The 25,019-nt window shown below is 42.6% G+C and overlaps 1 protein-coding gene and 1 long non-coding RNA gene across 5 annotated transcripts in view, besides 4 other annotated features; one reads left to right on the top strand and one right to left on the bottom strand.

The window, feature by feature from the left end:
* RAB8B (RAB8B, member RAS oncogene family) overlaps positions 1 to 13,325 on the bottom strand; it is a 78,171-nt gene extending 64,846 nt beyond the window's left edge. For all 3 annotated transcript variants that reach the window (XM_017022312.1, NM_016530.3, XM_011521669.4), the window contains exon 1: positions 13,183 to 13,325. Coding sequence is in view for 2 of the 3 variants with exons in the window: in NM_016530.3 (NP_057614.1) it covers positions 13,183 to 13,306 (124 nt within the window). In the remaining variant the exon portion in view is untranslated. The remainder of the gene's footprint in view (positions 1 to 13,182) is intronic.
* Positions 8,723 to 9,223: an enhancer, noted in NCBI's record as "H3K4me1 hESC enhancer chr15:63485907-63486407 (GRCh37/hg19 assembly coordinates)". NCBI's record gives its function as "activates a minimal SCP1, AML or CMV promoter by ChIP-STARR-seq in naive H9 embryonic stem cells {active_cell/tissue: H9 hESC(naive)}" and the evidence as "EXISTENCE:reporter gene assay evidence [ECO:0000049][PMID:30033119]".
* Positions 10,505 to 10,664: an enhancer, noted in NCBI's record as "active region_9528". NCBI's record gives its function as "activates an Ori minimal core promoter by ATAC-STARR-seq in GM12878 lymphoblastoid cells {active_cell/tissue: GM12878}" and the evidence as "EXISTENCE:reporter gene assay evidence [ECO:0000049][PMID:35858748]".
* Positions 13,241 to 13,570: a silencer, noted in NCBI's record as "silent region_6512". NCBI's record gives its function as "represses an Ori minimal core promoter by ATAC-STARR-seq in GM12878 lymphoblastoid cells {active_cell/tissue: GM12878}" and the evidence as "EXISTENCE:reporter gene assay evidence [ECO:0000049][PMID:35858748]".
* On the top strand, positions 13,500 to 24,864 carry LOC101928972 (uncharacterized). 2 transcript variants are annotated; one of them, XR_932355.4, is made up of 4 exons: positions 13,500 to 14,085; positions 15,896 to 15,941; positions 22,242 to 22,322; positions 24,616 to 24,864. It is a non-coding gene; the product is annotated as an uncharacterized LOC101928972 (long non-coding RNA). The 2 variants fall into 2 exon arrangements; XR_243169.5 differs by lacking the exon at positions 15,896 to 15,941.
* Positions 13,751 to 13,900: an enhancer, noted in NCBI's record as "active region_9527". NCBI's record gives its function as "activates an Ori minimal core promoter by ATAC-STARR-seq in GM12878 lymphoblastoid cells {active_cell/tissue: GM12878}" and the evidence as "EXISTENCE:reporter gene assay evidence [ECO:0000049][PMID:35858748]".
* Positions 24,865 to 25,019: the final 155 nt, after the last annotated feature.

The following is a 25,019-nucleotide window of genomic DNA, read 5'->3' as shown; positions in this document are numbered from 1 at the left end:
GTTTTAGCAAGTGGACTTCGTTATATAAAAAGCTGAGTTGCTCGGGTTTCTCTGCTTTCTGGATCACAGAGGCATTATGGAGACTTAAACAAATCAGGTGTTCATCTAGTTTACAATGCTACTGTGTCTGCGAGGAAAACTTTGCCAAACAAGGTTTTTACAAACAAAAGCTAGAATAGACACAATTTCACCTTCAAATAAAAGGACAGGCTGACATGAAGTTTAAACTTAAATTGCCAAAGGAAGGAAGCTCACAATTAAGGTAGCTGTTCCTAGCACTTAGTAGTCTAAGGCCAACAGCATACAAGCATAACAAACCAACAGTCCCCATGTGGACAGACAACACTGAGATTTCTGATACAATTAGTTTCCTTTTCACGAAAGAGTCAGATTCATAATTAAACTCTGTCCCCTCCTGTTCCCATTCTGCTGCACACATATTTGATTGCTTCCTAAGGGCCTGAGTTAGAAACCGGGAGACCCAAACCACAAGTCCACTGACCTCTGGGGGCCAAGAGGGAACTTGATGCATGTTTGCATTAGCTATTACTCAGGCTTGTCCAAGGAGAGGTTGATTTCATCTTCCCACTCAACATACTTTTCAAGGGTTTGTTGGTCAGTTTTAATAGTTCTTTTTTTTCTTTTTTCTTTTTGAGACGGAGTCTCGCTCTGTCGCCCTGGCTGGAGTGCAGTGGCGCGATCTCGGCTCACTGCAAGCTCTGCCTCCCGGGTTCACGCCATTCTCCTCCCTCAGCCTCCCAAGTAGCTGGGACTACAGGTGCCTGCCACCACGCCCAGCTAATTTTTTGTATTTTTTTTTTTTTTTTTTTTTTTTTTTTTTAGTAGAGACGGGGTTTCACCGTGTTAGCCAGGATGGTCTCGATCTCCTGACCTTGTGGATCCGCCCGCCTCGGCCTCCCAAAGTGCTGGGATTACAGGTGTGAGCCACCGCGCCCGGCCAATAGTTATTATAGACCACTGAAAGGGGCTGGTCCTATGGGTAAGTGCCCAACACACAGAGTCCTGTGGAAAACTCCAGCACCTGTTTTGAGAGGAAGAGGTTGTTGCAGCTAGAGTACAGTCCAGAACTGAAGTGCGAGGCTCACGTGTTGGCCCCTCTAGCTTCTTACTTGATTAATCAGTCAACTACCCTCTCAGAACTTTAGATTCCTTGTCTACAACAAGGAGATATCTATCTCCTTCTACCTTATATGATTATTGAGTAGTTTACATAAAGTAATAACATAAGTGAAAGTACTTTGTAAACGGCAAAGGTCCAAGTGAAGGGAATGGGCAAATGATGTTGTTTCTTAACGTCCTAATTGGCCTCCCCATATATGATCCTACAGTGGCTCCCTACTGCTCTAGGATAAAGTCCAGACTCTTGAATAAGGTTAGAAGCTCTTCTGCCCTCTAATGACCCAACTTCACCTCTTGTCACATCCCCCACTTACCTGAGGCTTCAGCCAAACAAGATGTCTTCAAGTTCCTCCTTCAAGGGCTATGCTATCTCTCTGGAGGGCAGGAGTGGCTCTGCCCAGAGAGCCTCCCTTCCTTACTCTCTTCCATTCTACCCAACTAACTCCTCCTTTGGGGTCCAATCTGAGCTGAGATATAATTCCCTCCTAGAGCCCTTCCTCGACCTCTCCTCTGCACACTTTCATAACACGGAGATTTACTCCTTTGTAGCCTTTTTCATCATTGTGTTAAAATTGCCTGGGTATTCATTAACTCTTTCCCGTTTCAAAATTTTGCAGACCAAAAAGTGTTGAATGAGTGAATTTAGTGAAAGTGATAATGACCTAATGTTTGGCATGAGTAGCTGACTGACAAACCAATATAGTACCCCCACCCCCAACTTCAAAAGCAAGGAGGAAAGAGGTTCTTGGAAATCTAGTTAAAACCTCACCCACCCCCAGCCACTCCCTTTTAACCCCAAAGCAAAAGGCTAATCAAGGGCCGAATATATACTTGCATCCCAGATCTCCTAGTCTAATTCCTTCCTTTTCTCCCACAAAATGTTGACTACGCCCAGACTGTATGCCAAACCATCAGTGTCTTTTCATAGCAAGAGAAATGAAGGCAGATGGGGTGTAAGAGAAAATAGATTTGAAATTAAAAAACAAATGCTCAATGTCAGGCTTTGTGTGACCTTGGGCAACCCCGATGCCTCTAGGCCTCAGGCCCACCATCTGTCAAATGGAAATTTAGCACCAGCAAAGGGCTTCCTATTATTTTAGACTATTTTTCACCTATCTCACCATGAGGTTTTTTTTTTTTTTGTCTTGTCATGCTTTTTCTTTTTGTGGTGTTGAGTGTCTCACTATGTTGCCTAGGCTGGTCTTGAACTCCTGGGTACAAGGGATACTCCCTCCTTGGCCTCCCAAAGTGCTGGGATTGCATGCGTGAGCCACTGCACCTAGCCTCACCATGTTTTACAGGAAGTAAATGAGACTATTTGAAAATACTTTATACATTTCTTCTCAAAGAAATACTTTTACAATTTTCAATAAGTTATCTTTCTGGTGATATTTAGCTTTATTACTCAAACCAAAACATTTTAAAGAATAGGATTCAAAAACATTAAGCAATCTCTTTAGTACAACAAAGATTTTAGCCAATTTACAAGATCAATACAGGCTTGTTTGAATTAACTAATGCTACTTCTTCTTCTGTCTTCATGTCATCAAAACACTAGTGTCTACCAGTGCAAAGAATCCTCATCCACAATCATTAACTGAAGAAAGAAAAGGACAAACCCTTTTATAGACACTGTTTGATTTCACAGACTCACAGAATGCTGCAGCCAGAAGAGACCTGAAGACCATCGAGGCCTGCACTCACCCTTCATGATCAGAAAAGTCTAGTCTGATGTTTTCAGGAGGGGTTTGTGCCATGAATAATTCAAAACACAAACCAATTGTTTGTCACAGCCCTACGTACTTTTTAAAATAAGAATTAAGAGATAACTTGAACAAAAAACGGTAAATCATATAATAAGATCACAACATAAATGTAAAATGTAATAGTGCTTATCAAAGTTGAAGGCTGGCCGGGGGCAGTGGCTCACACCTGTAATCCTAGCACTTTGGGAGGTTGAGGCGGGCAGATCACTTGAGCTCAGGATTCAAGACCAACCTGGGCAACAGGTGAAGCCAAGTTTCTACAAAAAATACAAAAATTGGCTGGGCGTGGTAGTGCACAGGAGGCCACTAATTCCAGACTGATGACAAAGTCTCAAAAAAAGCCCACAAAGAAACAAAAAACAAACAAAAAAAACCCAAAGTTGAACGCTGAAGGGCCAAAATAAAGACATAACTCTGATGATATTATATATATTTATATATGCATGTTTTTCAACTTAATTATAATGGAATTTTGTGCATGTTAAAGAAATTATTTCACTTTTCCCACAAATTTTTCATCCTTCTATAAGGTTGGAAATTTTCAAAATGATGTAGACAAAATAGGGAATGCAACAACTCAAATTTGTTTGTGGACAACACCCTGGTCTGTGTTCATTACTGGCTATGGCAGAGAGAGGCACCAATTTTTTAAAAATTATCTAGTTCTAAACAATGTAAGAGAAAAATCGAAGTCAAAGGTCACTATTAATTCTCAAACTATTTTACAGAGACATTTCTAACTCTTTATCCAATAGTTTACTCCAATTGCTAACAAAAGCAAAAAGAGACTGAACCAAGTAGCCAAAGAGATAGGGGAAGGGAAATGTTTTCATTTTTCTCTTCCCAACCCAATCCCCTCTCTCTAAATCTTGGTATGGGTGAGGTGCTAACAGACAGTGAAACAAGAAAGTGGTTGGAGTCATTCCAAAAGGGGAACAGTTGACTCTCAATAAAGAATTGTTTTCCATGCTGTATCAAGATTTTACTCAGAGATATTTAGAAGAGAAAAAGTAAACGATTCCTTGTTGAAAACCATAAAAAACTATCACATCCAAATTCATAAGCAATAAACAAATTACAGAAGGGTTAGTCACTGACATCTCCCAACACAAACTCTTTTTTTTGTAATGGATTTTGTGTATTCGTATGTATGTGTGCATAAGGAGATTAGAGTATGCTGCAATATCCATTCCAGATAAACAAATATTGCATAAGAAACGAATTTACAATTCAACTTTTAATAGATTATCCAATACTTCACATTAAAACTTGACCATATATCTTCAGAGTTGTCCTTCCACTTTATACATCAGGATAACATCTATGATTTATTAAAATAATTACCGCCAAGTTCTTCACCAAAATATGCAAAATTATAATGTGATATGGGAAGCCACGCCAGTCCTAGCTTTGCCAGCAGAAGGCCGTGCAATACTACACGTTGCTTAACAGCTCTGCAGATGGTTTTTATCATAATGAAGTGGGATTCTATACCTAACTGAGCTTTTGCAAAGTGCTTTGAAATCCTGCAATGCTGTCATGAGACCACAAGTACCACCATTATCCAGGCTTTCTCAGTGGTAGCCAGCCTAAATACGATGAACATGATAACAAGCAGAGTGTTAGCATTTTCCCTGAGAGTCAAGAATTAAACTTCTGGGCTGAGGAAGATGAGAGCTCCCAGGAAAATGTCCAAAGTTGCAGTAAACAGGTAAATACCAAAGTGCCTAGTTAAACTAATGCTAAATGCTACAAGTAGGACAGCAAGAAAATACTTTCATCACAGCTAATTGAGCTGCTGTAGAGAACTGTTCCCAAACTGTTTCCACCACTTTATGCGGCCTCCCAAAGGAAGTCCCAAGCAACTAAGTAACTTTTTTTGAAAAGCAGATTTATTTCTTCCTCTAAGGACAACCAGGTACCTACCTCCTTTCAGGTTCTTATTAATTCAACTTGAAATAAGAAAAATCCCAAAACACAAAACTGAACATAGGAAAAGGGCACCTCTCCAGACATACTATATCTAATAATTATTTACTAATAATATTACTAATATTGAAATTTAGCCATAACATGTTGGACAGCAAATAGCTACCTATTCATTTTAGAAAACAGCAAATGTGTAGGAAGTTGCCGCCCTCCCTCTCTTTCCCTACTGTCCATGGCAGACATTAGGAATCCATCACAGCCCTCAGCCTTGCTGAGCTCAGACAGGACCTCAGAACTCAACAGAACACAGCATTCCTGGCAGCCACTACCAATCCATCAGGATTGACATTTTTCATCCCAGCTTTGCATATTCCTCAACATACTATGCCAACATATTGAAATGGGTCTTTAAAGAAAGCCATTTCAGCCAGGTGTGGTGGCTCACTGTAATGCTAACACTTTGGGAGGCCGAGGCAGACAGATTACTTGAGCTCAGGAGTTTGAGACCAGCCTGGACAACACAGCGAAACCTTCTCTCTGTAAAAAATACAAAAATTAACCAGGTATGGTAGTGTGCACCCGGGGTCCCAGCTACTCCAGAGGCTGAGGCAGGAGAACTGCTTGAGACCAGGAGGCGGAGGTTGCAGCAAGCCGAGATTGCACCAACACATTCCAGCCTGGGCGAAAGAACAAGACTCTGTCTTAAAAAAAAAAAAAAAAAAAAAGAAAAGAAAGAAAGAAAGAAAGAAAAAAAAAAAGAAAGCCACTTCAAGACAGTTTCAAGACTAAAGAAAACCCTTTATTTAAACTATAAAATGATCATTTTTTTCTGTAAGATGAGAATAAAACATAACCATAAACATCAGTACTATAGACATATGCTATTCCAGTGAGATACACAAGGGCTCTATATAAAAATATTTATATAAATATTTTTTTTAAATAGAATTTGGCCTTATTCAACCCAAACGCTCAGTCCAGGTCTAATCCACTCACTACCCTGTCACTCAAATGAGTGCTGGGCAGAACACAGACACAAACACAGCTCCATCTGCTAATTAAAAATGGGCATGAAACTGTTAACAGGCATCTGTTGCATTGTTTGAAGCTAATGGGCAGAGACAAAGCTGAAATGGCTCTTATAATGCAAACCCAGTGATTTCACTCATTTTCTATTTGGTATTTATGTTAGTGGGGGGTTGGAAGCTGGGTGTTAAAACAGCTTATTATGGAGACTGAAAGATAAGTAAAATATCTTTGATATTCTAAAACAAACCTTTCAAACTGATTATAGAAAGATATGTAGCATTTTATACTGGGGGAAGTAACATTCCTGTGTTAAGAGTCCAAATTAAACACTTTTTATCTTAACTCAAATATCATCTAATCATCTATAATACTGTGAAAGAGAATAGTAACAAATTCAAGCTATGCTTTACAGCTCATATAGGGCTTTCACAATTCATCCCTTCATCCGTTCATTCATCCAATGTGCAGACATTTAATACAGGCCTTGGAGATTTAAAAGGCGAATATGACTTGATTTTTGCCTTAAGGAGCTCACAGCAACTCTGAAAGGTAGACACAGTATTCTTACACTCTGTTATAAGGAACTAAGGCCCTAGAAGGATAACTGACTCCCCAAAGCCCACAAAGCTAGAACGGCAGATGCCCATTGCTCTTAATTCAACATGCTATCTCCATAATGCCAAACATACTAGTCCACCTCATCTGCCTGGAAAATGAAAATAATTTAAGGCTTTTTCATGTCAATACCAGCTCTGATAAAGGATCTATTTTAAAGTACTGTAACCACCATACATCCTTGATGGCCATGCCTGCTTTGCAAGCTGGTAGCTCACAGGCCTCATCTAGCCCACAGACATGTCTGTTTGGCCCTTATTGTAATGGCCCTCACATTGTTTTTTGTTTGTTTTTATTAATTGCCCATAAAGTTGAGTTTTTATGAGAAATTTTCAGCAAATCTTGAAATATGTGATGATTTTCCAGCATGGCAATGGTAAAGCTGCAAATAAAAAGCAGCCACGCCCTAAGAGAGGGAATACATACAATCCAGGGTCCACATCACACCCTGCTGCTTCCCATTCTGGGTCCACTCCCCTTACTCATAGTTCCCACCAGAACCATGTGAGTTTGCAACCCCTAACCTAGGTAGTAAGAATCTACAATCTTACCTTGAATTTCCCTTTTTACATTTCCGTGGCTACTTGCATTTCTGAAGCTTAGTGATATCATACTCCACATTACTCGCCACCTAAAATCTACTTCCCCATCCTCACCCCCAACCCTCTTCTCATGCTATGAAAACTCTATTCCTGCAAAATATTCTCAAGTAACAGTTCTAACACCCACAGGAGAGCTGATGTCCAGAGCTGGGTGAAGACAGGCAGACCTAGACTCGAGCTGGCCTGAGGCCAGCAGCTCCCTGCTCATCCACTTCAGGATCTATGGTTCTTTTCAGATTCAGTTATTGGATTCAATTCAAAAATATACTGCTAAATTTTTCTTTGTCCTCAAAGACTAGACTTATTTACCTCTAAAACAATATCTAAACCTATTTCCCTCCAGCTTTTCTCAGTGGATCCAAACAATCTCGCTGCTGTTGCCAAGAGAACCTCCTCCCTGACTTGCTGCCTGCAGAACAGCTGGTGAAGCTCTTCATTAAAGTACACATTCTTCAGACAGATCCATATTTGTACCCAAGACTCAGTTTCCCCATGCCCATCCTTTATATGTAGGAAGGCTTTTTTCATTCACTAGAACATTGATTGAAGAGATGAGTTTAATCCTTTATGATCAAGTATTAAATTCTACTTTTTCTGAACCAGAGTCGTTATCAATGCTATTGCTTAGATGGGAAATCTACTGGCAGCTTTGAAAGAACACAATGACATTAAAATAAGGCTTTATGTACAAAATGTTCAATATGAACTTGCATGTTCCTTGCATATTTTTGTTTGAGAAGTTGAAACCAAGGAAAACAACTATGAAAATGAAAATCAACTTGCTCTACGTATCTGGATTATGCTCAGCCAAATGTTGATGTCATCTTGGATAAAAATGTAAATATGACAAAGTTTGTTTTTCAGTCAATAAGTCTTGATAAAAGCTTTGAAATGCTACCAACCAAAAATAGTTTTTAATTTTAAGTAACGGTCAGCAAACTTTCTACAAAGAACCAGTTAGTAAATATTTTTAAGCTTTGTGGGATACATATGGTCTCTTTTGCATATTGCTTTATTTTTTAATAACCTTTAAAATATAAAAACCATTCTTAGCCTGTGAGCTACACAAAAACAGGCTGCAGGTCACACTTGGCCCATAGGCTATAGTGTGCTAACCCCTGATTTTAAGGAAAGTGAACCCAAGAAAAATATCCAGTGTTACAGAATAAAATGTCTAAAAGTACTCTGATGAGACTAAGCTACAACAATTACTAACATACCCCCATTAATATGATTTCATTAGTTACTTTACGTATGGAAGAAATTTTAATGATAGGATACACTTTGATCTCCTAATGTGAAACTATAGACACAGAAAGGGCAAAGGACAGCTATGCGCTGAGTTATTCCAGTATAAACTCCAACAGAACTCAGAGTCATTGTAGTAACATTTGCTATTCACCTGAACAGACTCGGCTAATCAAAACAGAAATGTCTTAACTTTCCTCACATAAAGGCGTATGTGCAAACTCTAATTCTTCCCTGGAAAAGGTGATGACTTGAATTAATGGGGATAATCATACTGATTAGGAATAGTAGCAACTCAGTTGTGAAAAGTGACATAGACTTGGATCTGGGGTTTCACTACAGGATCTGCTATAATCAGCTGTGTAATTTTGAGGGTGTCAATTAAACCTTCATTTTTTTTTTATTTATAAAATTGGGACAGGAATAAAGTAGATAATATCTAAGACTCTTTCTGCTGTTAAACTATGACTATACTAAATAGTGAAACCACTCAGGAAATACCTAACAGGAAGAAGGGGGCAGGGCAGCAGAGAGACGGCAAAGGGAAGAAGCTCTGATTGTCCTGTCAAGAGGACAGGGCTGGGTTATCTCTTTTTGTTAAACCAGCACCTTTTTCTGTCCAGAGCCATTTCAAGACGTCGGTATGCCCTCATATCAATATTAAAATGCATCCATTTCCCAGAGGAAATATAATCTATAGCTAACTGTATCATCATTCCTAGTTGTCTTTATGTTACATTTTACAGGCACTTAATTAAATGTTTTTGATGTTGTTGTTGTTGTTGTTTTTTGAGATGGAGTCTTGCTCTGTCGCCCAGGCTGGAATGCAGTGGCGCGATCTCAGCTCACTGCAAGCTCGGCCTCCCAGGTTCACGCCATTCTCCTGCCTCAGCCTCCCAAGTAGCTGGGACTACAGGTGCCCGCTGCCACCCCCGGCTAATTTTTTGTATTTTTTAGTAGAGACGGGGTTCACCGTATTAGCCGGGATGGTCTCAATCTCCTGACCTTGTGATCCGCCTGCCTTGGCCTCCCAAAGTGCTGAGATTACAGGCATGAGCCACTGCGCTTGGCCAATTAAATGTTAATTATGATTACATAAGGGTTTTTAGAGCCAATAAAAAAAATTCAATTTTCAAACATTTGGAGTGAAAGGCGAGTTGGTCCTAGGCACTTGACCAATAATTTCAAATGGATAAAACATCCTTTCCTCACAGTTAACTAAACTATTGACAGATATACTAGAAGATCTTCAAAAAGTCAGATACAAGAAAATCTACCTTCCAACACCCCTCAAAGAGCAAAAAGGAAATGAAGGGACCTGAGATATCAGAGAAGATAGCAAAACCTTATTTATTTACTTATCTATTTTTTAGAGACAGAATCTTGCTCTGTCTCCCAGGCTGGAGAGCAGTGGTGCAATCATAGCTTACTGTAATAACCTTGAACTCCTGGGCTCACGTTATCCTCCTGCCTCAGCCTCCCAAGTAGCTAGTACTAAAGGTGTGCACCACTCCACCTGGCTAATTTTTTAATTTACTTTTTGTAGAGATGGGGTCTTGCTATGTTGCCCAGACTGGTGTCAAACTCCTGGCCTCAAGTGATCTTCCTGCCTCAGCCTCCCAAGTAGCTAGGAATACAGGCATACACCGTTTGGTGAATTTTTGTATTTTTGTAGAGACAGAGTCTCGCTATGTTTCCCAGGCTGGTCTTGAACTCCTGGCTTCAAGTGATCCTCCCACCTCAGTCTCCCAAAGTGCTGGGGTTACAAGCTTGAGCCACCACACCCAGCCAATAGCAAGACCTTAGAGAAGTGAGAAGAAGAAAGTATCTCTGAGACAACTGTATCTGGAATCAAAATGACTGTCTCCTTCCCTTCGTGATGACAGAACCCCTATCAAAACAGTGTCGAAAGATGGCAGATTACCATTTTTAAAACTACTAAAACTTTGACAAAGCAAAATTAAGACTTAAAATGTATCTTCATGGGAAGAAACAGACACCCATACATATCTACCAAAACACATACACACAAACCCCAGGCGTTGAGAAATACATCTTTTCCGTATGACACAGAGCTTATCAAGTGCTGTCAGCAATGCTATGGCAGACTTCATCAAAACCCAGTCAGAAAAGCACAGGAACTTACACACTTAGGTACTTCATGACTAGGGAGGAGATGGGCTGTCACCTCAGTAACTTCAGATCACCTGGGAATGAGGTGAGGGGCATGGAGGGAGTGGCTGCTAGAGATGTCAACACTCAAAATCTATACTTGTAATCAGTGAAGAGTCTGTGGAACCAGAATGGTGCTAACATTCACCTTATTTTCCCAGCTTAATTTTGACTGCAGAGCATTAGGTTTCTATATAATTCTGCAGTTTGAAGGCAGTGTGTATATAAATTCTGCAGTTTGAAGGCAGTGTGCTACCACTTCCTGTTGGAGCTCTGGGGCTAAATAAGAGGTATGGGATTTCCCCTCCTCCACGTCAACTGAAGACACAGCTCACACCTCTTTTTACCACATCCACCTCACAGAAAATATAAAGACCAAGATGTCACATGAGATTCACCTCCTTTTCATGTTCACTTCCTATTCTAATCTGTTTCAGGACACTGGTTTTCATGCCTTCATAGCTGTCACCCTCCAAAGAACCTCATTTCCATCATTTTTTGAAATCCACTGATAGACTTGAACCCTTCAAAATGAAAAGTAATTTTTAAAAGCTACTATTTTAAAAGGAACCAGATACCCTTACAGGAAACATGGGACAAAAATTAAGGGAAAAAGAGAAAACGAATAAAACTATTACAAACAAGCAAGTCGTCCAAGAAGCTTAACAAAAACAGCATCAGCGAGATTCACTTACTTTCAAGGCAGGAGATACTTCTGGGAGGCTCAAATACAGAATGGACAAAAGGACACCCACTCAACTTGTTAGAAATTATCCTTTACCATCTGTACTGCAGTATGCATTCAACAATGAAAAATTGTTATTTGAGGCTTTGAAATTAATACAAATGTCAAAAATTAACACCCTTTAGTTGCTGTACCAGCAGCTACCACCAAATCTTAGGAATATACTTGAGAGATGACATTTAAAATCTGCTTTTTCAGAAAAGAAAAAGTCCCACTCAAGACTGACTGCCAAGAACTTGCAATTCAAACTTCCCTAAGCCCAGACATCATAACACCCAGGAGATTTTAGACCATTCAATCTATATGAAAGAATCCAGAATGAGCAAACAAACCATAGCCTTTACTAATACTTAAAGAGTGTTCTATACCAAATACTCTTTTTTTAAAAAAAGATAAATTATCCTTAAAAATACACAAATATTTAAACACACGTATTACCAAAGCACTAGCTCTCTATTATTTCCCAACCCAGAAATTCATGGTGAAATATGCTGTAAGAACCATACGAAAGATGACTAAATAAGCCACTATTAGAGGCCAGAAACATCACCAACACAACCAAAAGCTGAGGTATTCTTAAGGTACTTAATTAACCTGCAACTATTTAACAGGAGAAATGATGTTAAGGTGGTCACTTCTAAAACAGCTTAAAACCAGCTTTGACTTGGTCTTCAGTTTATGATAAGTTAAGAGATCTTATTACCTGAACACAGTGTCTTCCAGTACAAAAGTAGAAAGGACAGCTCCCAGCCAGGATCAGAAAAACTCTTGATTCAATTGGAAGTAACTGAGAGGTATATCACATGTTGTGATTCACTTAACAATAATTAGAACCAAAGCAAAATATACAGGGAGGCAGGTAGAATGTAAGTTCATTTCCTTGGCTGAGAAGCTGTTAAACATTCAAACCGAAGGATTTAAAATACTGAGAAGTCTTGCTTCTCAGGAGATGGTAGTAAAGAGGTGAACCATATTTTCCTGACCACATCATTTCCAAAAGTCACCAATTCCCTTAACATCCATTAACACTCACAGAACAAATTAACGCTCTATAGACATTATTCCATCATTAGTCACATTTTGCTTTCTCCTGCACTTGATCCAAAGGAAGTGAAGAGAAAATGGTAATCAGTTACTATAGCAAGTCTTGCGCCCCACTACTTTCCATTTCCTCTCTTTTCCATCTCCTCTGTCTTCTCTGCTCAACCTCCCTTTACTATGATGTTGCTTCCTCTTTTCCTTTCTGTCTCACACCCAGATCCCTTTACTTTCTCCATCAAGTATCCTCATTCTGCCCTCTGATCCCTTGAACTCTTCTTCCACCTACAATTTTCTTCTGTCCCCTCCTACGACATCTCAGTCCAGACCTCCTGTGGCCAGCCGTCCCCTTCTTCCTCACCTCCTGACCGCTCATTCCCCTGAATTCCCTTCCAGTTGCCTGGTTCTCACCTCTCTGTCCCTTGTGTCCTCTGTCCCTTTACTTCACATCCCTCTCATTGCCCCCATCCCTCATTTCCCCCTTCACATTTCCTTCCTCTCCTGTCTTTTAATCATTGGCACGTCCACTATCCCCTTCTCTCTACATGAGATTTCCTGAGTCTTCCCCCCAACACATTTTGTCCCTCAAAGACCCCTCCCTGTCAGTCTCCGAACCCTCTCGTTCCCCCAATACCCCTAGTCCTTGTTCCTCTGTTCCCCTTCCCGTTCCTTTGCCCCCAAGTTCCCCCTTCGCCCTTAGCCTCACGTTCCCGCTCGCCTCTCTCCCTCACGCCCTCGCCCCTCTCCCTCACGCCCTCGCCCCTCTCAGTGCCCCCGCCACCTTGCAGTCCCCGGGGTCTCCTCTCCCGGGCTCCCAAGCGCCCCCCGCCCTTTCCCCGTCCCCTAGTACCCGCCCCCCAATTCTCTACCCGGTCCCGGGCCGCGGCCCCTCCCTCACCGATGGTGGAGATGAAGGTGGTGTTGAAGGCGTCCTCTGAGAAGCGGAACAGGAGGCAGGTCTTGCCTACCCCCGAGTCGCCGATCAGCAGGAGCTTGAAGAGATAATCGTACGTCTTCGCCATCTTCTCGCTCCGGCCCTCTGACCGGGGAGCCAGAGGAGGCGGTGGAGAGAGGCGGGGAGGGGGCCGCGGGCGAGGGGGCGTGCCCGCCAATCCGCCGCTGCTCGCCCCGCCCCACGCCCCGCCCCTCCTCTCGGAGAAGGCCTGCGCGCCCCGCCCCGTGCGGCCAATCGGCGAGGGCTTCGTCATCACCGCCCGCGCCCCGGGACTTCATGGGACTTGTAGTTCCTCCGGGGAGCCTCGGGCGTGCCCCGCGAGGACTGTCCAGGCGGCTCCAGCGGATAAAAGACCTGCTATGGGCGGGGTGACAGGGTGGAGGCGTTTCCACCCGAGCTGGGAAGGGAGGCCCCGTTTCGTACTCTGCTGGTCGAGCCGCGGGAACTTAACTTTGTTATTTCTTTGTGTGCAGACGCCTTCCAAATCCAGGACCTCAGAATCAGAGCCCCGTAGTTCCCGCATCTCTTCCGCCGAGACCTGGAGCAGAGATGCTTTCTTTCCTTGGCGCTGCTGTGGCGCAGCCTACGGGTTATCTGCAGAGGGCATTATCCAGCTTCTCCCCGAGGCCATGCCCAGCACCACTATAACCCCCTCCCGCAGCCCCTCAGTCACAGAGCTGAGAAAGAATGGTTACCATGCTAACTCGAACCTCACTCGTGCCCCCTTCTTCACGCCACACAGACCAGAGCCAAATACAATGAGTATTTAGAGAATCTGCTACGCTGATCGCTCCCCTCTCCTCGCAGGAGGATGGATTTTTAAATCTGGGAAGTCTTGTGCTACAGGTCTGTGCCCCATGAAACTGCAAGCATCCTGTGAGGCGGGCCACGGGAATTTAGAGAGTAAGATTTGAATTTAGTCTTGGCTCTGCTGCAAAACCGCTGTGACAAGTCACACAGGCACTGGACATTTCAGTTTTCTCATCTGTAAAATGGATATGAAACAAGATACTTCATAGGGTTCCAGTGAAACTTAAATACTAAATGTGAAAGTTCTTTGAAACCCATAAGGCACTGTTAGCAGTGATGGTAATATTCATTACTCTTCAGTAGGCTCTCACTTAATTGATGACGAATATAGGGAGGAAACAGCATTCTGTTATACTCAAGTTAATCCTTTATTATTTATTGTCTTAGGCTAATTCTCTGTTTTGTGGATGTATTGTTCAGTCCCCTTTCATTTGCTAGTGGCAGAAACCCAACCGGATTAGCTGTTGTGAAAGGGGTGTTGACTGGTTCAGGTAATGTGGAAGCAAAAGGCTAAGAAGGTGTGGGACTAGGAGTCCACCCTGCCAGGGCTCTGTGTCTCTCATCTGTTGTTCTCCCTTCGAAGTTTTAATTTCTAATATGTCAAATACCGACAGGTAAAACCCACATGAAAAAAAGCTTCTTGGAGTCTTCAATAAGTTTTAAGAGGATGAAGGGGTCTTGAAACCAAAGTATTTGAGAACCACTGGTCCAGACATTTACCTTAGCTATAAGGAAACACCTTCTGGAAGGCTAGAGGTTATTAAGGGAACCAGTGGACTCCACCATTAGTGGAATAAGAAAAGGGGGGGGGGGAAAAACCGTGGACAGTTAGTTGAACAAACCAGCAGGCTTTTCTAAGGACACATACTGTGTGCCTTGTGACTTTAGGAACAGTGCCACTGATAATCCATTCTCAGTTGCATTGTGGCAGAAGACTTAGTTGGCCCTAGAATTGGCCTTCATTTTCTATGCGGGTAAAAGATGAAATGTGTCATCATTAACTGATTGATCATACAGTAGCCAGAGGGCTGCTGCTGCTGCTGCTGCTGCTTACGGAATGTCTCATTCCTAGAGTCCACTAGATAGGAACAAAGCTCTAATGAGTTCAAAGTCACAGTGTCTGCCCCTAATGAAGAAGGATTCTGCCCTCTGGCACAGGCTGAGCCCTCTTGCCCAAGCCAGTCCTTGAGCAAGCCTCTGAACGTGGCTTCAGCCATGATCTGAACAGTGTGGATTGTTCTATATCTTCCTCCTCATTCCTGGAAAAGAAGGGGAAAAAATTCCGCAAAGACCAGTGGAATTTATTTCTTTTTAAAAATGTATATTTATGGCCAGGCGCGGTGGCTCACGCCTGTAATCCCAGCACTTTGGGAGGCCCAGGCGGGCAGATCACGAGGTCAGGAGATCGAGACCATCCTGGCTAACACGGTGAAACCCCGTCTCTACTAAAAGTACAAAAAATTAGCCGGGCATGGTGGCGGGCGCCTGTAGTCCCAGCTACTCGGGAGGCTGAGGCAGGAGAATGGCATGAACCCGGGAGGCGGAGCTTGCAGTGAGCCGAGATTGCACCACTGCACTCCAGCCAGGGTGACAGAGCAAGACTCTGTCTCAAAAGAAAAAAAAAAACCGCATATTTATTAAAATGATGTTTAGTCCCACTGTCTGTATGCAACTATTATCACTCTCTTTCTATATGAATAAAAATGTAGTGATACGGTAAAGAACTTAAGTTCAAAAGAGAAACTAGCATTAGGAATTTTAAAGTCCCTAAATTTTCTTAGGGGAATTTTGTTAATTGATGGGAATTTTAAAAAATAATAATGTTGTCTTATTTTCACTTCCCCAGTTTTTCTCTGCTACCAAGTATATATAATATTGGGACTTTCTAGCTGGTAAGTTTGTGCACCACTGTTGAACCATTCAAGCATTTTGACATATTGATACTACTTCAAAAAGAATCAGATTTTTTTCTCTTACACATTATTCATTTTCATATTTTGTGCAACAATGTTATTTAGATATCGGATTCTGGTGGTAGTAACTGAGTACTATTGAATCAAGGCATTTTGCTCAAAGGACTGGACATTAAGTATATTTGTAGCAGTACAGTTACTTCAGGTAGCAGGTTGCTGGTTGCCACTGTTCCTTCTTTCTCCGAGAGCTATCAGTGGACCCCGTTTTAAACTCCAAGTTACTATGCTCTGAGTGAACCACATCAATACTTTCTGTCAGTTTCCCAAGCCCACCCTGTAAATACTACATCACTGCAGAGCACCAGGCACATTCAATTTGATTTAGCAAATGTTTATTGAAGCCTTCTATAGGGTTAATATTGTACATGACAGCTTGACTACAGAAATCTAGATGTCCAAGGAGTCTACCTTCTGTGAATTTTGTCAGACCAGCACTCTTTCTGTTTTTGGAAAGCCACTCCTCTTTCTAATGATGGCTGTGAATCATGTCACTTCACTCCACATGCCACAGAGGTGGGCATATGACCCAGGCTGCGTCAATCCGAGTTCTTCCCTGTGAACTTTCTAAGGAAATGGGTTTTGATGCTGAAAGTAGGTCTGTCTGGTATGAGGTCTATGTGAGCTTTTGGCTGGTTTTGATCAAAGCTTTAGTTCATTTTCCTGTATGCTCTTGTTCCTGCTCTTCTCTGTGTTTACTTTGTCCTCAGGCTAGCTTTCCTCATGGTAGCAAGCAAGACTGCCATGTTGCACAATTCCAAAGGCATTATTCACTCTCCACAGTAATGTATTCATCTTGGAGGTCCACTCCCAAGATTCTACAAACATAGTCTTGAGGGTCTGTGTGTTCTCTAAGCAAATTTTCAAAATAGTTTAAGAATTTTTAAACTGGTTTAAGTTGCTCCATGACACTTGAGAGCAAGAAATCACCTTTCTTAATGGCTTTAACGAAATTAAATTTGGCTGAGACCCCTACTTATCAAAGGCTGGCAAAACCAATATCAGGTTTTTTTTGTTTGTTTTTGAGACGGAGTTTCACTCTTGTTGCCCAGGCTGGAGTGCAATGGCACAGTCTCAACTCACTGCAACCTCTGCCTCCTGGATTCAAGCATTTCCCCTGCCTCAGCCTCCCGAGTAGCTGGGATTACAGGTTCCCATCACAATGCCCAGCTAATTTTTATATTTTTAATAGAGACGGGATTTCACCATGTTGGCCAGGCTGATCTCCAACTCCTGACCTCAGGTGATCCGCCCACCTTGGCCTCCCAAAGTGCTGGGATTACAGGCATGAGCCACCGCGCCCGGCCCAAAATCAGTTATTATTGGGACTTTTCCTCTCCTTAATTGTATCTTACAAGAATCCAGGAGCTCACATGGTCCTGAAAAATTAAAGGCAAAGCAGCCTCTGGGAATCAGTGTGTACCCATCTCGGTTGACACTTCTGCCCAACTACTCTTAGGTTCTGGCCCTCTGCCATCTGTTGAGCACAGCTGTCCCGGTGGGCTACAAAGATGTCCTTTATGGTGATTATCTTCACTGACTGATGACTCAGCTGTTGAATAAGTTCTCTCTCTGTTATTGAATGGTTTGTGTGCTTCTTTGTCTGCTCCCTTAAAAGTTGAGCTCTTTGAGGAAAGAGACTGCTAATGTATTGCTGCATCCCCAGCATGCTTAGCATGATGTTTTATACATAGCAGGCACTCAAGGTGTTGAATGAACCAATGAATGAAGATCTGACTAGCATCTTAGCAGTCTAGCTAATTTTAAAACATCTGGACACCTTTAGTTTATTATTTGCTATATTAGGTGTTTGGGACCTCGCTAATATCTTTCTGTTTGTACTCTACCTTGTATTTAGATGTTATTCATTCAGTAAGTACACTATTCATTGTTGTGTTTAAGAAATCAGCATAATTATGTATTATTTTTCTGGTTTGTCAAGATCACATTGAATGATAAGCCCTTAAAAATACCAATTTTTCATGTCACCTGTGTGTCATTAAAAAATGCTATTTAGTGATACTCCAGTGTATAATTCTACAATTATCCTAATCAGAGGGACAAACTGTACCCTTTCCACTGACTGATATTTCCTGAGCAATCACTAGGTGAAAAATGTCCACTCAAACATTCATTAAGTTCACACTTTGAAACCAGCTAAGCAAGGCCACCTGGAGGATACAAAAAGATGTCTCATGTGGTCCTTGCCCTCAGTTTGCTCCCAGCTAATTGAGGGGAGAGCCCACAAATGAAAAATTCAATGGTAAATGTGAGGCTCGTACACATTGCATTTATCTTGATAGGTGAAGATAAGTTGTCCATTCTGATTGGTTGGCTTTTCATTCGGATTAGTGGGGCATCCATTCTCATTCTCATTGGTTGGGTGTTGATTTTGATGATTTGGGCATCCATTCTGATTGGCCAGGCTTCCAATCTGATTGGTCAAGTGTTCCTGCCAAACTGATTGTTACATATTATGCATATCACCACTGGATGCAAAAGTTAAATAAAAATGAGAGATGATAAGACCCCTACATTATGTACATTCTACAATAATGTAGAATCAGTGGGAGCCCCGAGCTTGTTTTCCTGCAACTAGATGGTCCCATCTAGGGGTGATGCGAGACAATGACAGAACATCAAGCATTAGATTCTTTTTTTTTTTTCTTTTTGGGACAGAGTCTCACTCTGTCACCCAGGCTGGAGTGCAGTGGCACGATCTAGGCTCCCTGGAACCTCCCCTCCCCAGGTTCAAGCGATTTTCCTGCCTCAGCCTCCTGAGTAGCTGGGATTACAGGCACACACCACCACACCCGGCTAGTTTTTGTTTTTAGTAGAGATGGGGTTTCACCGTGTTGGCCAAGCTGGTCTCAAACTCCTGACCTCAGGTGATCCTCCTGTCTTGGGCTCCCAAAGAGCTGGGATTACAGGTGTGAGCCACCGCACCAGGCCTAGGCATTAGATTCTCATAAGGAGTGGGCAACCTAGATCCCTCACACACGCAGTTCACAATGGGGTTCGTGCTCCTCTGAGAATCTAGTGCCACCTCAGTTCTGACAGGAGGTGGAGCACAGGTGGTAATGCTTGCTCACCTGCTGCTCACCTCCTGGTGTGTAGCCCAGTTCCTAACAGGCCACTGACCACAACTGGCCCACTGCCTCGGGGGTTGAGGACTCCTGCACCAAAGGGTGGTTTGGAAGGAATTCATTCTAATACCTCTTATATTATTTCTTTCTCTGGTAATAAAGTTGCTGACAATAAAATATTAGCAAAATTCATTCATTTCATTAAGCTAGGCATTGCTATTTTGTGGGATTTTGTGTAAAGTAAGACGTGCAATAAGGACTATGCATTTTGGGTAGAGCTTTTTGGGTAGAGCTTCTTGTAAACTTGAGGTTTTTTGTTTGTTTTTTTTGGTTTTTTTTTTAAGTCTTTTGGGGCCAACTTTAAAATGGACTCTTATCCAATAGCAAAGTCAAGATGTGCTGAAACTCACAATCAGCATCAGAACAGGTATTGGGATTCTTATGGTAGTAAATAACAGAATACTAAATGACCTAAATAAAAATACTGATTTAAACCATAAATATATTTAACCCTAAACTAGAATTATCAGATATAAGCCTAGTGACAGGTGAGACTTAATCTAGTAGCTCAAATTACATGCCCAGTTCTTGGCTTCTCTTTGTCAGCATCTTAGCAACACGTCTTCAAGATAGCACTTATTTCAATAGGCTAGCCCCATGTGGTTGCAAAATGTCTTCCTGAAACTCCTAGGGCTCCTTGCTTCCAGATTCAAACAGAGCAGAATGTAGAGAATCCTTTTCCCCAAAAGTTCAAATAAATACCCAGGAATTGAGTTCCATGGGCCTTGACTGCCCTTCCCTGAACCTATGCAGGGCCCAAGAGAGTGGCCTCTGTCAACTGATGTAAGCCACTGGGACTGGGTGTAGAGTCAGCCTCACCCTAAACACAGGGTTCTATTAGTGAAGACTGGAGAAGATAAGGCTGGGAAACAAATGAGCACCATCTGTGTTTACGTGTCAAATGCACATGGATATTTGTTTGCTTGTTTTTGAGACTGAGTCTCATTGTATTGTCCAGGCTGGAGTGTAATGGCACGATCTCGGCTCACTGCAACCTCTGCCTCCCGGGTTCAAGCAATTCTCATGCCTCAGCCTCCTGAGTAGCTAGGATTTCAGGCACATGCCACCACACCTGGCTAATTTTTGTGTGTTTAGTAGAGACAGAGTTTCACCGTATTCATCAGGCTGGTCTCGAACTCCTGACCTCTGGTGATCCGCCCACCTCGGCCACCCAAAGTGCTGGGATTACAGGTGTGAGCCACGATGCTTGGCCATCACATGGATATTTGTGTCAAGTACTACCAAGTGATTGATTACATTGGAGAAATCACAGAACTGAATCCAGAAAAAGTGTGATTTGTCATTCTCTAAACAGATGGGTTGATGCTTAACTGGGAAGAAGGAAATATGGCCTCCTTGAGGAGGGAATGGGTAACCCAAAGCCAGAATTAACCAAAGCACTTTGACACCTGGCCCCTTTTCTGCGCTACTTCAGGAATCAGCTGACGGTATAAAGCCCATTTTGGCAGCAAAGACTTTAAAATGGGCTTTATACCCTTAAATGGTTCCTGAAGCAAACTTTCTAATTATTCTATCAGGCTCTGACAAATCTGTCCTGGGACTTTGTTATTGTCAAAAGGACTGAACTTAGCATCAGATGACCTGAGTTCTGTTTCCCCTCTGCTACTAAATAGTTCTGTGACCTTAAACAAGCACAGCATTTCTGTGCCTCAGTTTCCTTAACTGTAAAATGGGAGGAACTGAATGAAATCATCCATTCCCATCTGTAAAATCCTTTGAGCTCTTGAATCCAGGCCCCGATAACAGATGTCCTGAGACCTGGAAGTTCTGATCTTTCACACAATAGTCTCCCAAGCCACCCAAACACCCTGGTGAATCAGGGGATTTATCAGCAACCTCAGAGGTCTTGTGAGTCCCATTGAGGCTATGTAGGGTGTGGAGCCGGGAAAGGAGCCCAAGATACTTAGTTCCTTGTTCTAAACAACATTCAATTCACCCTTATGACTCAGTTATCATTGCTTCTCTCTTTCCAAGGAGCACCAAGTTTCAGTCCTGAGATAGCAACAATGATTTGTTGGGTTGCCAAATTACTGGGTTAAGAGAAAAATGAAATTCTGCATTATTCTGAGCCAACTCCAATCAGATTTCTTCCTGCAATTCCTACTTAATATGAATAATCATAATCATTTCCCGAATAACCTTAAACATAGACATGTATATATATTTAGAGGCAGGGTCTCACAATGTTCCATAGGCTGGAGTGCATGGCTATTCACAGGCACGATCATAGCTCACTGTAACTTCAAACTCCGGAGCTCAAGTGATCCTCCTGCCTCGGCCTCCTGAGTAGCTAGGACTACAGGTGCACACTACTGCACCTGGCTCTGACTTTTTTTTTTTTCCTGGTTTAACAGCAGCAAGGGATTATAAACAGAGTTAATCAGGGAACATGTTGAATTGCTCCAGAACCTGTGATAAAACACCCTCTCCCTTTGTGAAATTCCTTGCTCTCACTGGTTCAGACAGAACTGAAGAGTTAATATGAAATCAAGCAGGATTCTTTGATTATTCACTTTTAAAATTACAAGCATAAATGATGATGATAACCTAATAGAATGCTGAATAAATAAGGCTGAATAGGTGATTCTTTTGGGCCAGGTTGAATATTCAGATTAAGAGAAACTGCGAATGAAATCCCAATCACATAGTAATTTCCCACCTATTGCTTTCTGAAACTCAAGTAGCTATATGGTCTAATTAGGCTGTTTGGGGGATTATCACATTTTATTTCTGCAATGAATGGCATCATTTGGGGTTTAATATTTATTGAGGCTTTTATGAAACAGAGAGGTTTCCATATGTCTCTAGAGCAAAACATTTGTGTTTGCCATCTGCTACTCAAGAGTAGTTTTGTAGAAAAAGAACGCAAATTGCTTGCTTCTTTAATTACTTTGGGGCTAGGCTATACTATAGTTGGGACTGTGGAAAAGCCAGTGGAATTAACTGCTGAGAGAATACCATTGTTTACTTAGCCACCAACTTAAATAATTTTTTGCAAGTAAACTGCATAAAAAGAGATTAAAGCCTAAAATTATTTTTGTTCTTTTAACTCAAGGCAAAGACCAAGTGAAGAGATGTGTGAGATTTTTTTCGAGCTGGCAAAAAGGAGACCCTATCCAGGAGACTAGGCTTTAAGGTCAGTATAGAAAGTATCAGATCTCTTTTTCAAGATCTGACGCCAACTGAATCTGTGACTTATACTTAGTACTTAAAAAAAAAAAAAAAAAATCAGAGGATCTCCTTGAGCCCAGTATCAAAAAAATTAATTTACTTTTCATCACCAGGAGCTAATTACTTGGGCTCTGGACTCCATACTGTTTGTTTCTGCTTTCCCTCTTCTCAGTGGCTTCTTGAATTGTGTATAAGTCTCTATTCAGTAACACCTCCACTAGCCTGTAGACAGTCATCATTAGAAAATATAGTATTTCTAATCACTTTTGCTTAATCAGGAGTCACTTCAACCAACAGGGCTCACCCAAAAGTGGAAACTCTGGGGCTTAGGAATTGTCTGTGGATTTCAATTGCTGATGCTTTTTCTAGCTTTCCTCACAGTAAAATTGTATCCATCAAGGTTATGAGAATACAAATGTAAGAAATTGACAGATGAAAGGGACCTAGTCTGCCCAGTGACTAACTGAGATCCTTGACAGGCTACCTAACCTCAATGGACCTCTGACTTCTAAGACTACTTCTTGCTTTAAGAGGCCATAAAAACCTGCCGGGCGCTGTAGCTCACGCCTGTAATCCCAGTACTTTGGGAGGCCAAGGCAGGCGGATCACGAGGTCAGGAGATTGAGACCATCCAGGCCAACATGGTGAAACTCCGTCTCTACTAAAAATACAAAAATTAGCTGGGCGTGATGGTGCGTGCCTGTAATCCCGGCTACTCGGGAGGCTGAGGCAGGAGAATCGCTTGAACCAGGGAGTTGGAAGTTGCAGTGAGCTGATATCACGCCACAGCACTCCAGCCTGGCAACAGAGCGAGACTCCGTCTCAAAAAAAGAGGCCATAAAAACCAATGTCTAGGCCGGGTGCGGTGGCTCACACCTGTAATCCCAGCACTTCGGGAGGCTGAGGTGGGCAGATCACGAGGTCAGGAGTTCGACACCAGCCTGGCCAACGGGGAGAAACCCCGTCTCTACTAAAAATACAAAAATTAGCCGGGCGTGGTGGCGGGTGCCTGTAATCCCAGCTAGTCAGGAGGCTGAGGCAGCAGAATTGCTTGAACCCAGAGGCAGAGGTTGCAGTGAGCCGAGATTGCGCCACTGCACTCCAGCCTGGTGACAGGGCGAAACTCCATCTCGAGAAAAAACAAAACAAAAATCCAATGACTATAGAGATGTATTCCAGGGTTTCTCAAAATGTGTACCTCAGAACGCTAAGTGAGTCAGCAGATGCTAGCAGGTGATACAAGAAGAAAAGATTTCAGGGCTAAGCTTTTTGAGAAATGCTGCTATCAGTTGTTTAGATGGTGCGGCTTCTCTGACGTCAGTATGCAGAGGCGCAGCTGTGAGTCTCCACCGCAAGGTGTGGCACACGGCTTTTCCCACACTCCATTCTGATGGCGCATCTTATGGGGCTTGTGTCCTCAGACTGTATGTTAGGAAACTCATTTAATCCAAACCCTTTTTTTTGCTTGTTTGTTCGTTTTTTGTTTTTGTTTTTTTGAGACAGAGTCTCACTCTATCGCCCAGGCTGGAGTGCAGTGGCGCCATCTCGGCTCACTGCAGCCTCTGCCTCCTGGGTTCCGGCGATTCTCCTGCCTGAGCCTCCCGAGTAGCTGGGACTACAGGCGCCCGCCACCACACCTGGCTAATTTTTTGTATTTTTAGTAGAGATGGGTTTCACCATATTGGCCAGGCTGGTCTTGAACTCCTGACTTCAGGTGATCCACCCGCCTTGGCCTCCCAAAGTGCTGGTATTACAGGCGTGAGAGCCACCGCACTCGGCCCTTATTTTTATTTTTATTTTTTTTAAATTTATTTATTTTGAGACAGGGTCTCTCTCTGTCACCCAGCTTGGAGTGCAGTGGCATGATCTTGGCTCACTGCAACCTCTACCTCCCAGGCTCAAGGTATCCTCTCACCTCGGCTCAAGGTATCCTCTCACCTGGGCTCAAGGTATCCTCTCACGTCGGCTCAAGGTATCCTCTCACCTCGGCTCAAGGTATCCTTCCACCTCAGCTGGGACCACAGGCCCGCACCACCACGCCCAGCTAATTTTTATATTTTTTTGGTAGAGATGGGGTTTCACCATGTTGCCTCGGCTGGTCTCAGACTCCTTGCCTGAAGTGATCTACCTGCCTCGGGCTCACAAAGTGCTGAGATTAGAGGCTAAGCCACCCCTCGAAACCTAACCCCTTAGTTTTAGATATGAAAACACTAAATAGCAAAGTCCTACTATCAAGTTGAAAATCAGCATGTTTACAGGAAGCTGTGAGGAAAGACGGCAGCATCCATTCCCAGAATTCCTGACAGACTGGACTGAGAACACCCGTCCCTGCTCCCAGGCTTCTCCTGAGTCCCAGGGCAGGGCTCCCTGCTGCCGCCTCTGTCACTGTCAGATCCACAGAAAGATCAGAGAAGAGGGTGGGGCGCTGTGATGGCTCTCTCTCCTCCACACCTGGGGAAGCTGCTTCACCCTCAAGCTCTGGGGGACTGGCAGATGTTGTACTAACCTGAAATTAAAATCATCTGTGCAGAAGCATATTTACCCAGAATTCTGAATGAACATTCTGTATATTGTGTTTTTGAGAAAAAGACTAATGTCAAGTAATTAAACTAACTGGCATTTTTTGCTTTGTATTGTTCTGTATTTTGAATGAATTATAGGC

This window comes from Homo sapiens, chromosome 15 (assembly GCF_000001405.40).
Source record: "Homo sapiens chromosome 15, GRCh38.p14 Primary Assembly".
NCBI lineage: Eukaryota > Metazoa > Chordata > Mammalia > Primates > Hominidae > Homo > Homo sapiens.
Note: the sequence above shows the minus strand (reverse complement) of the source record. Positions and strands in the feature narration are given on the sequence as shown.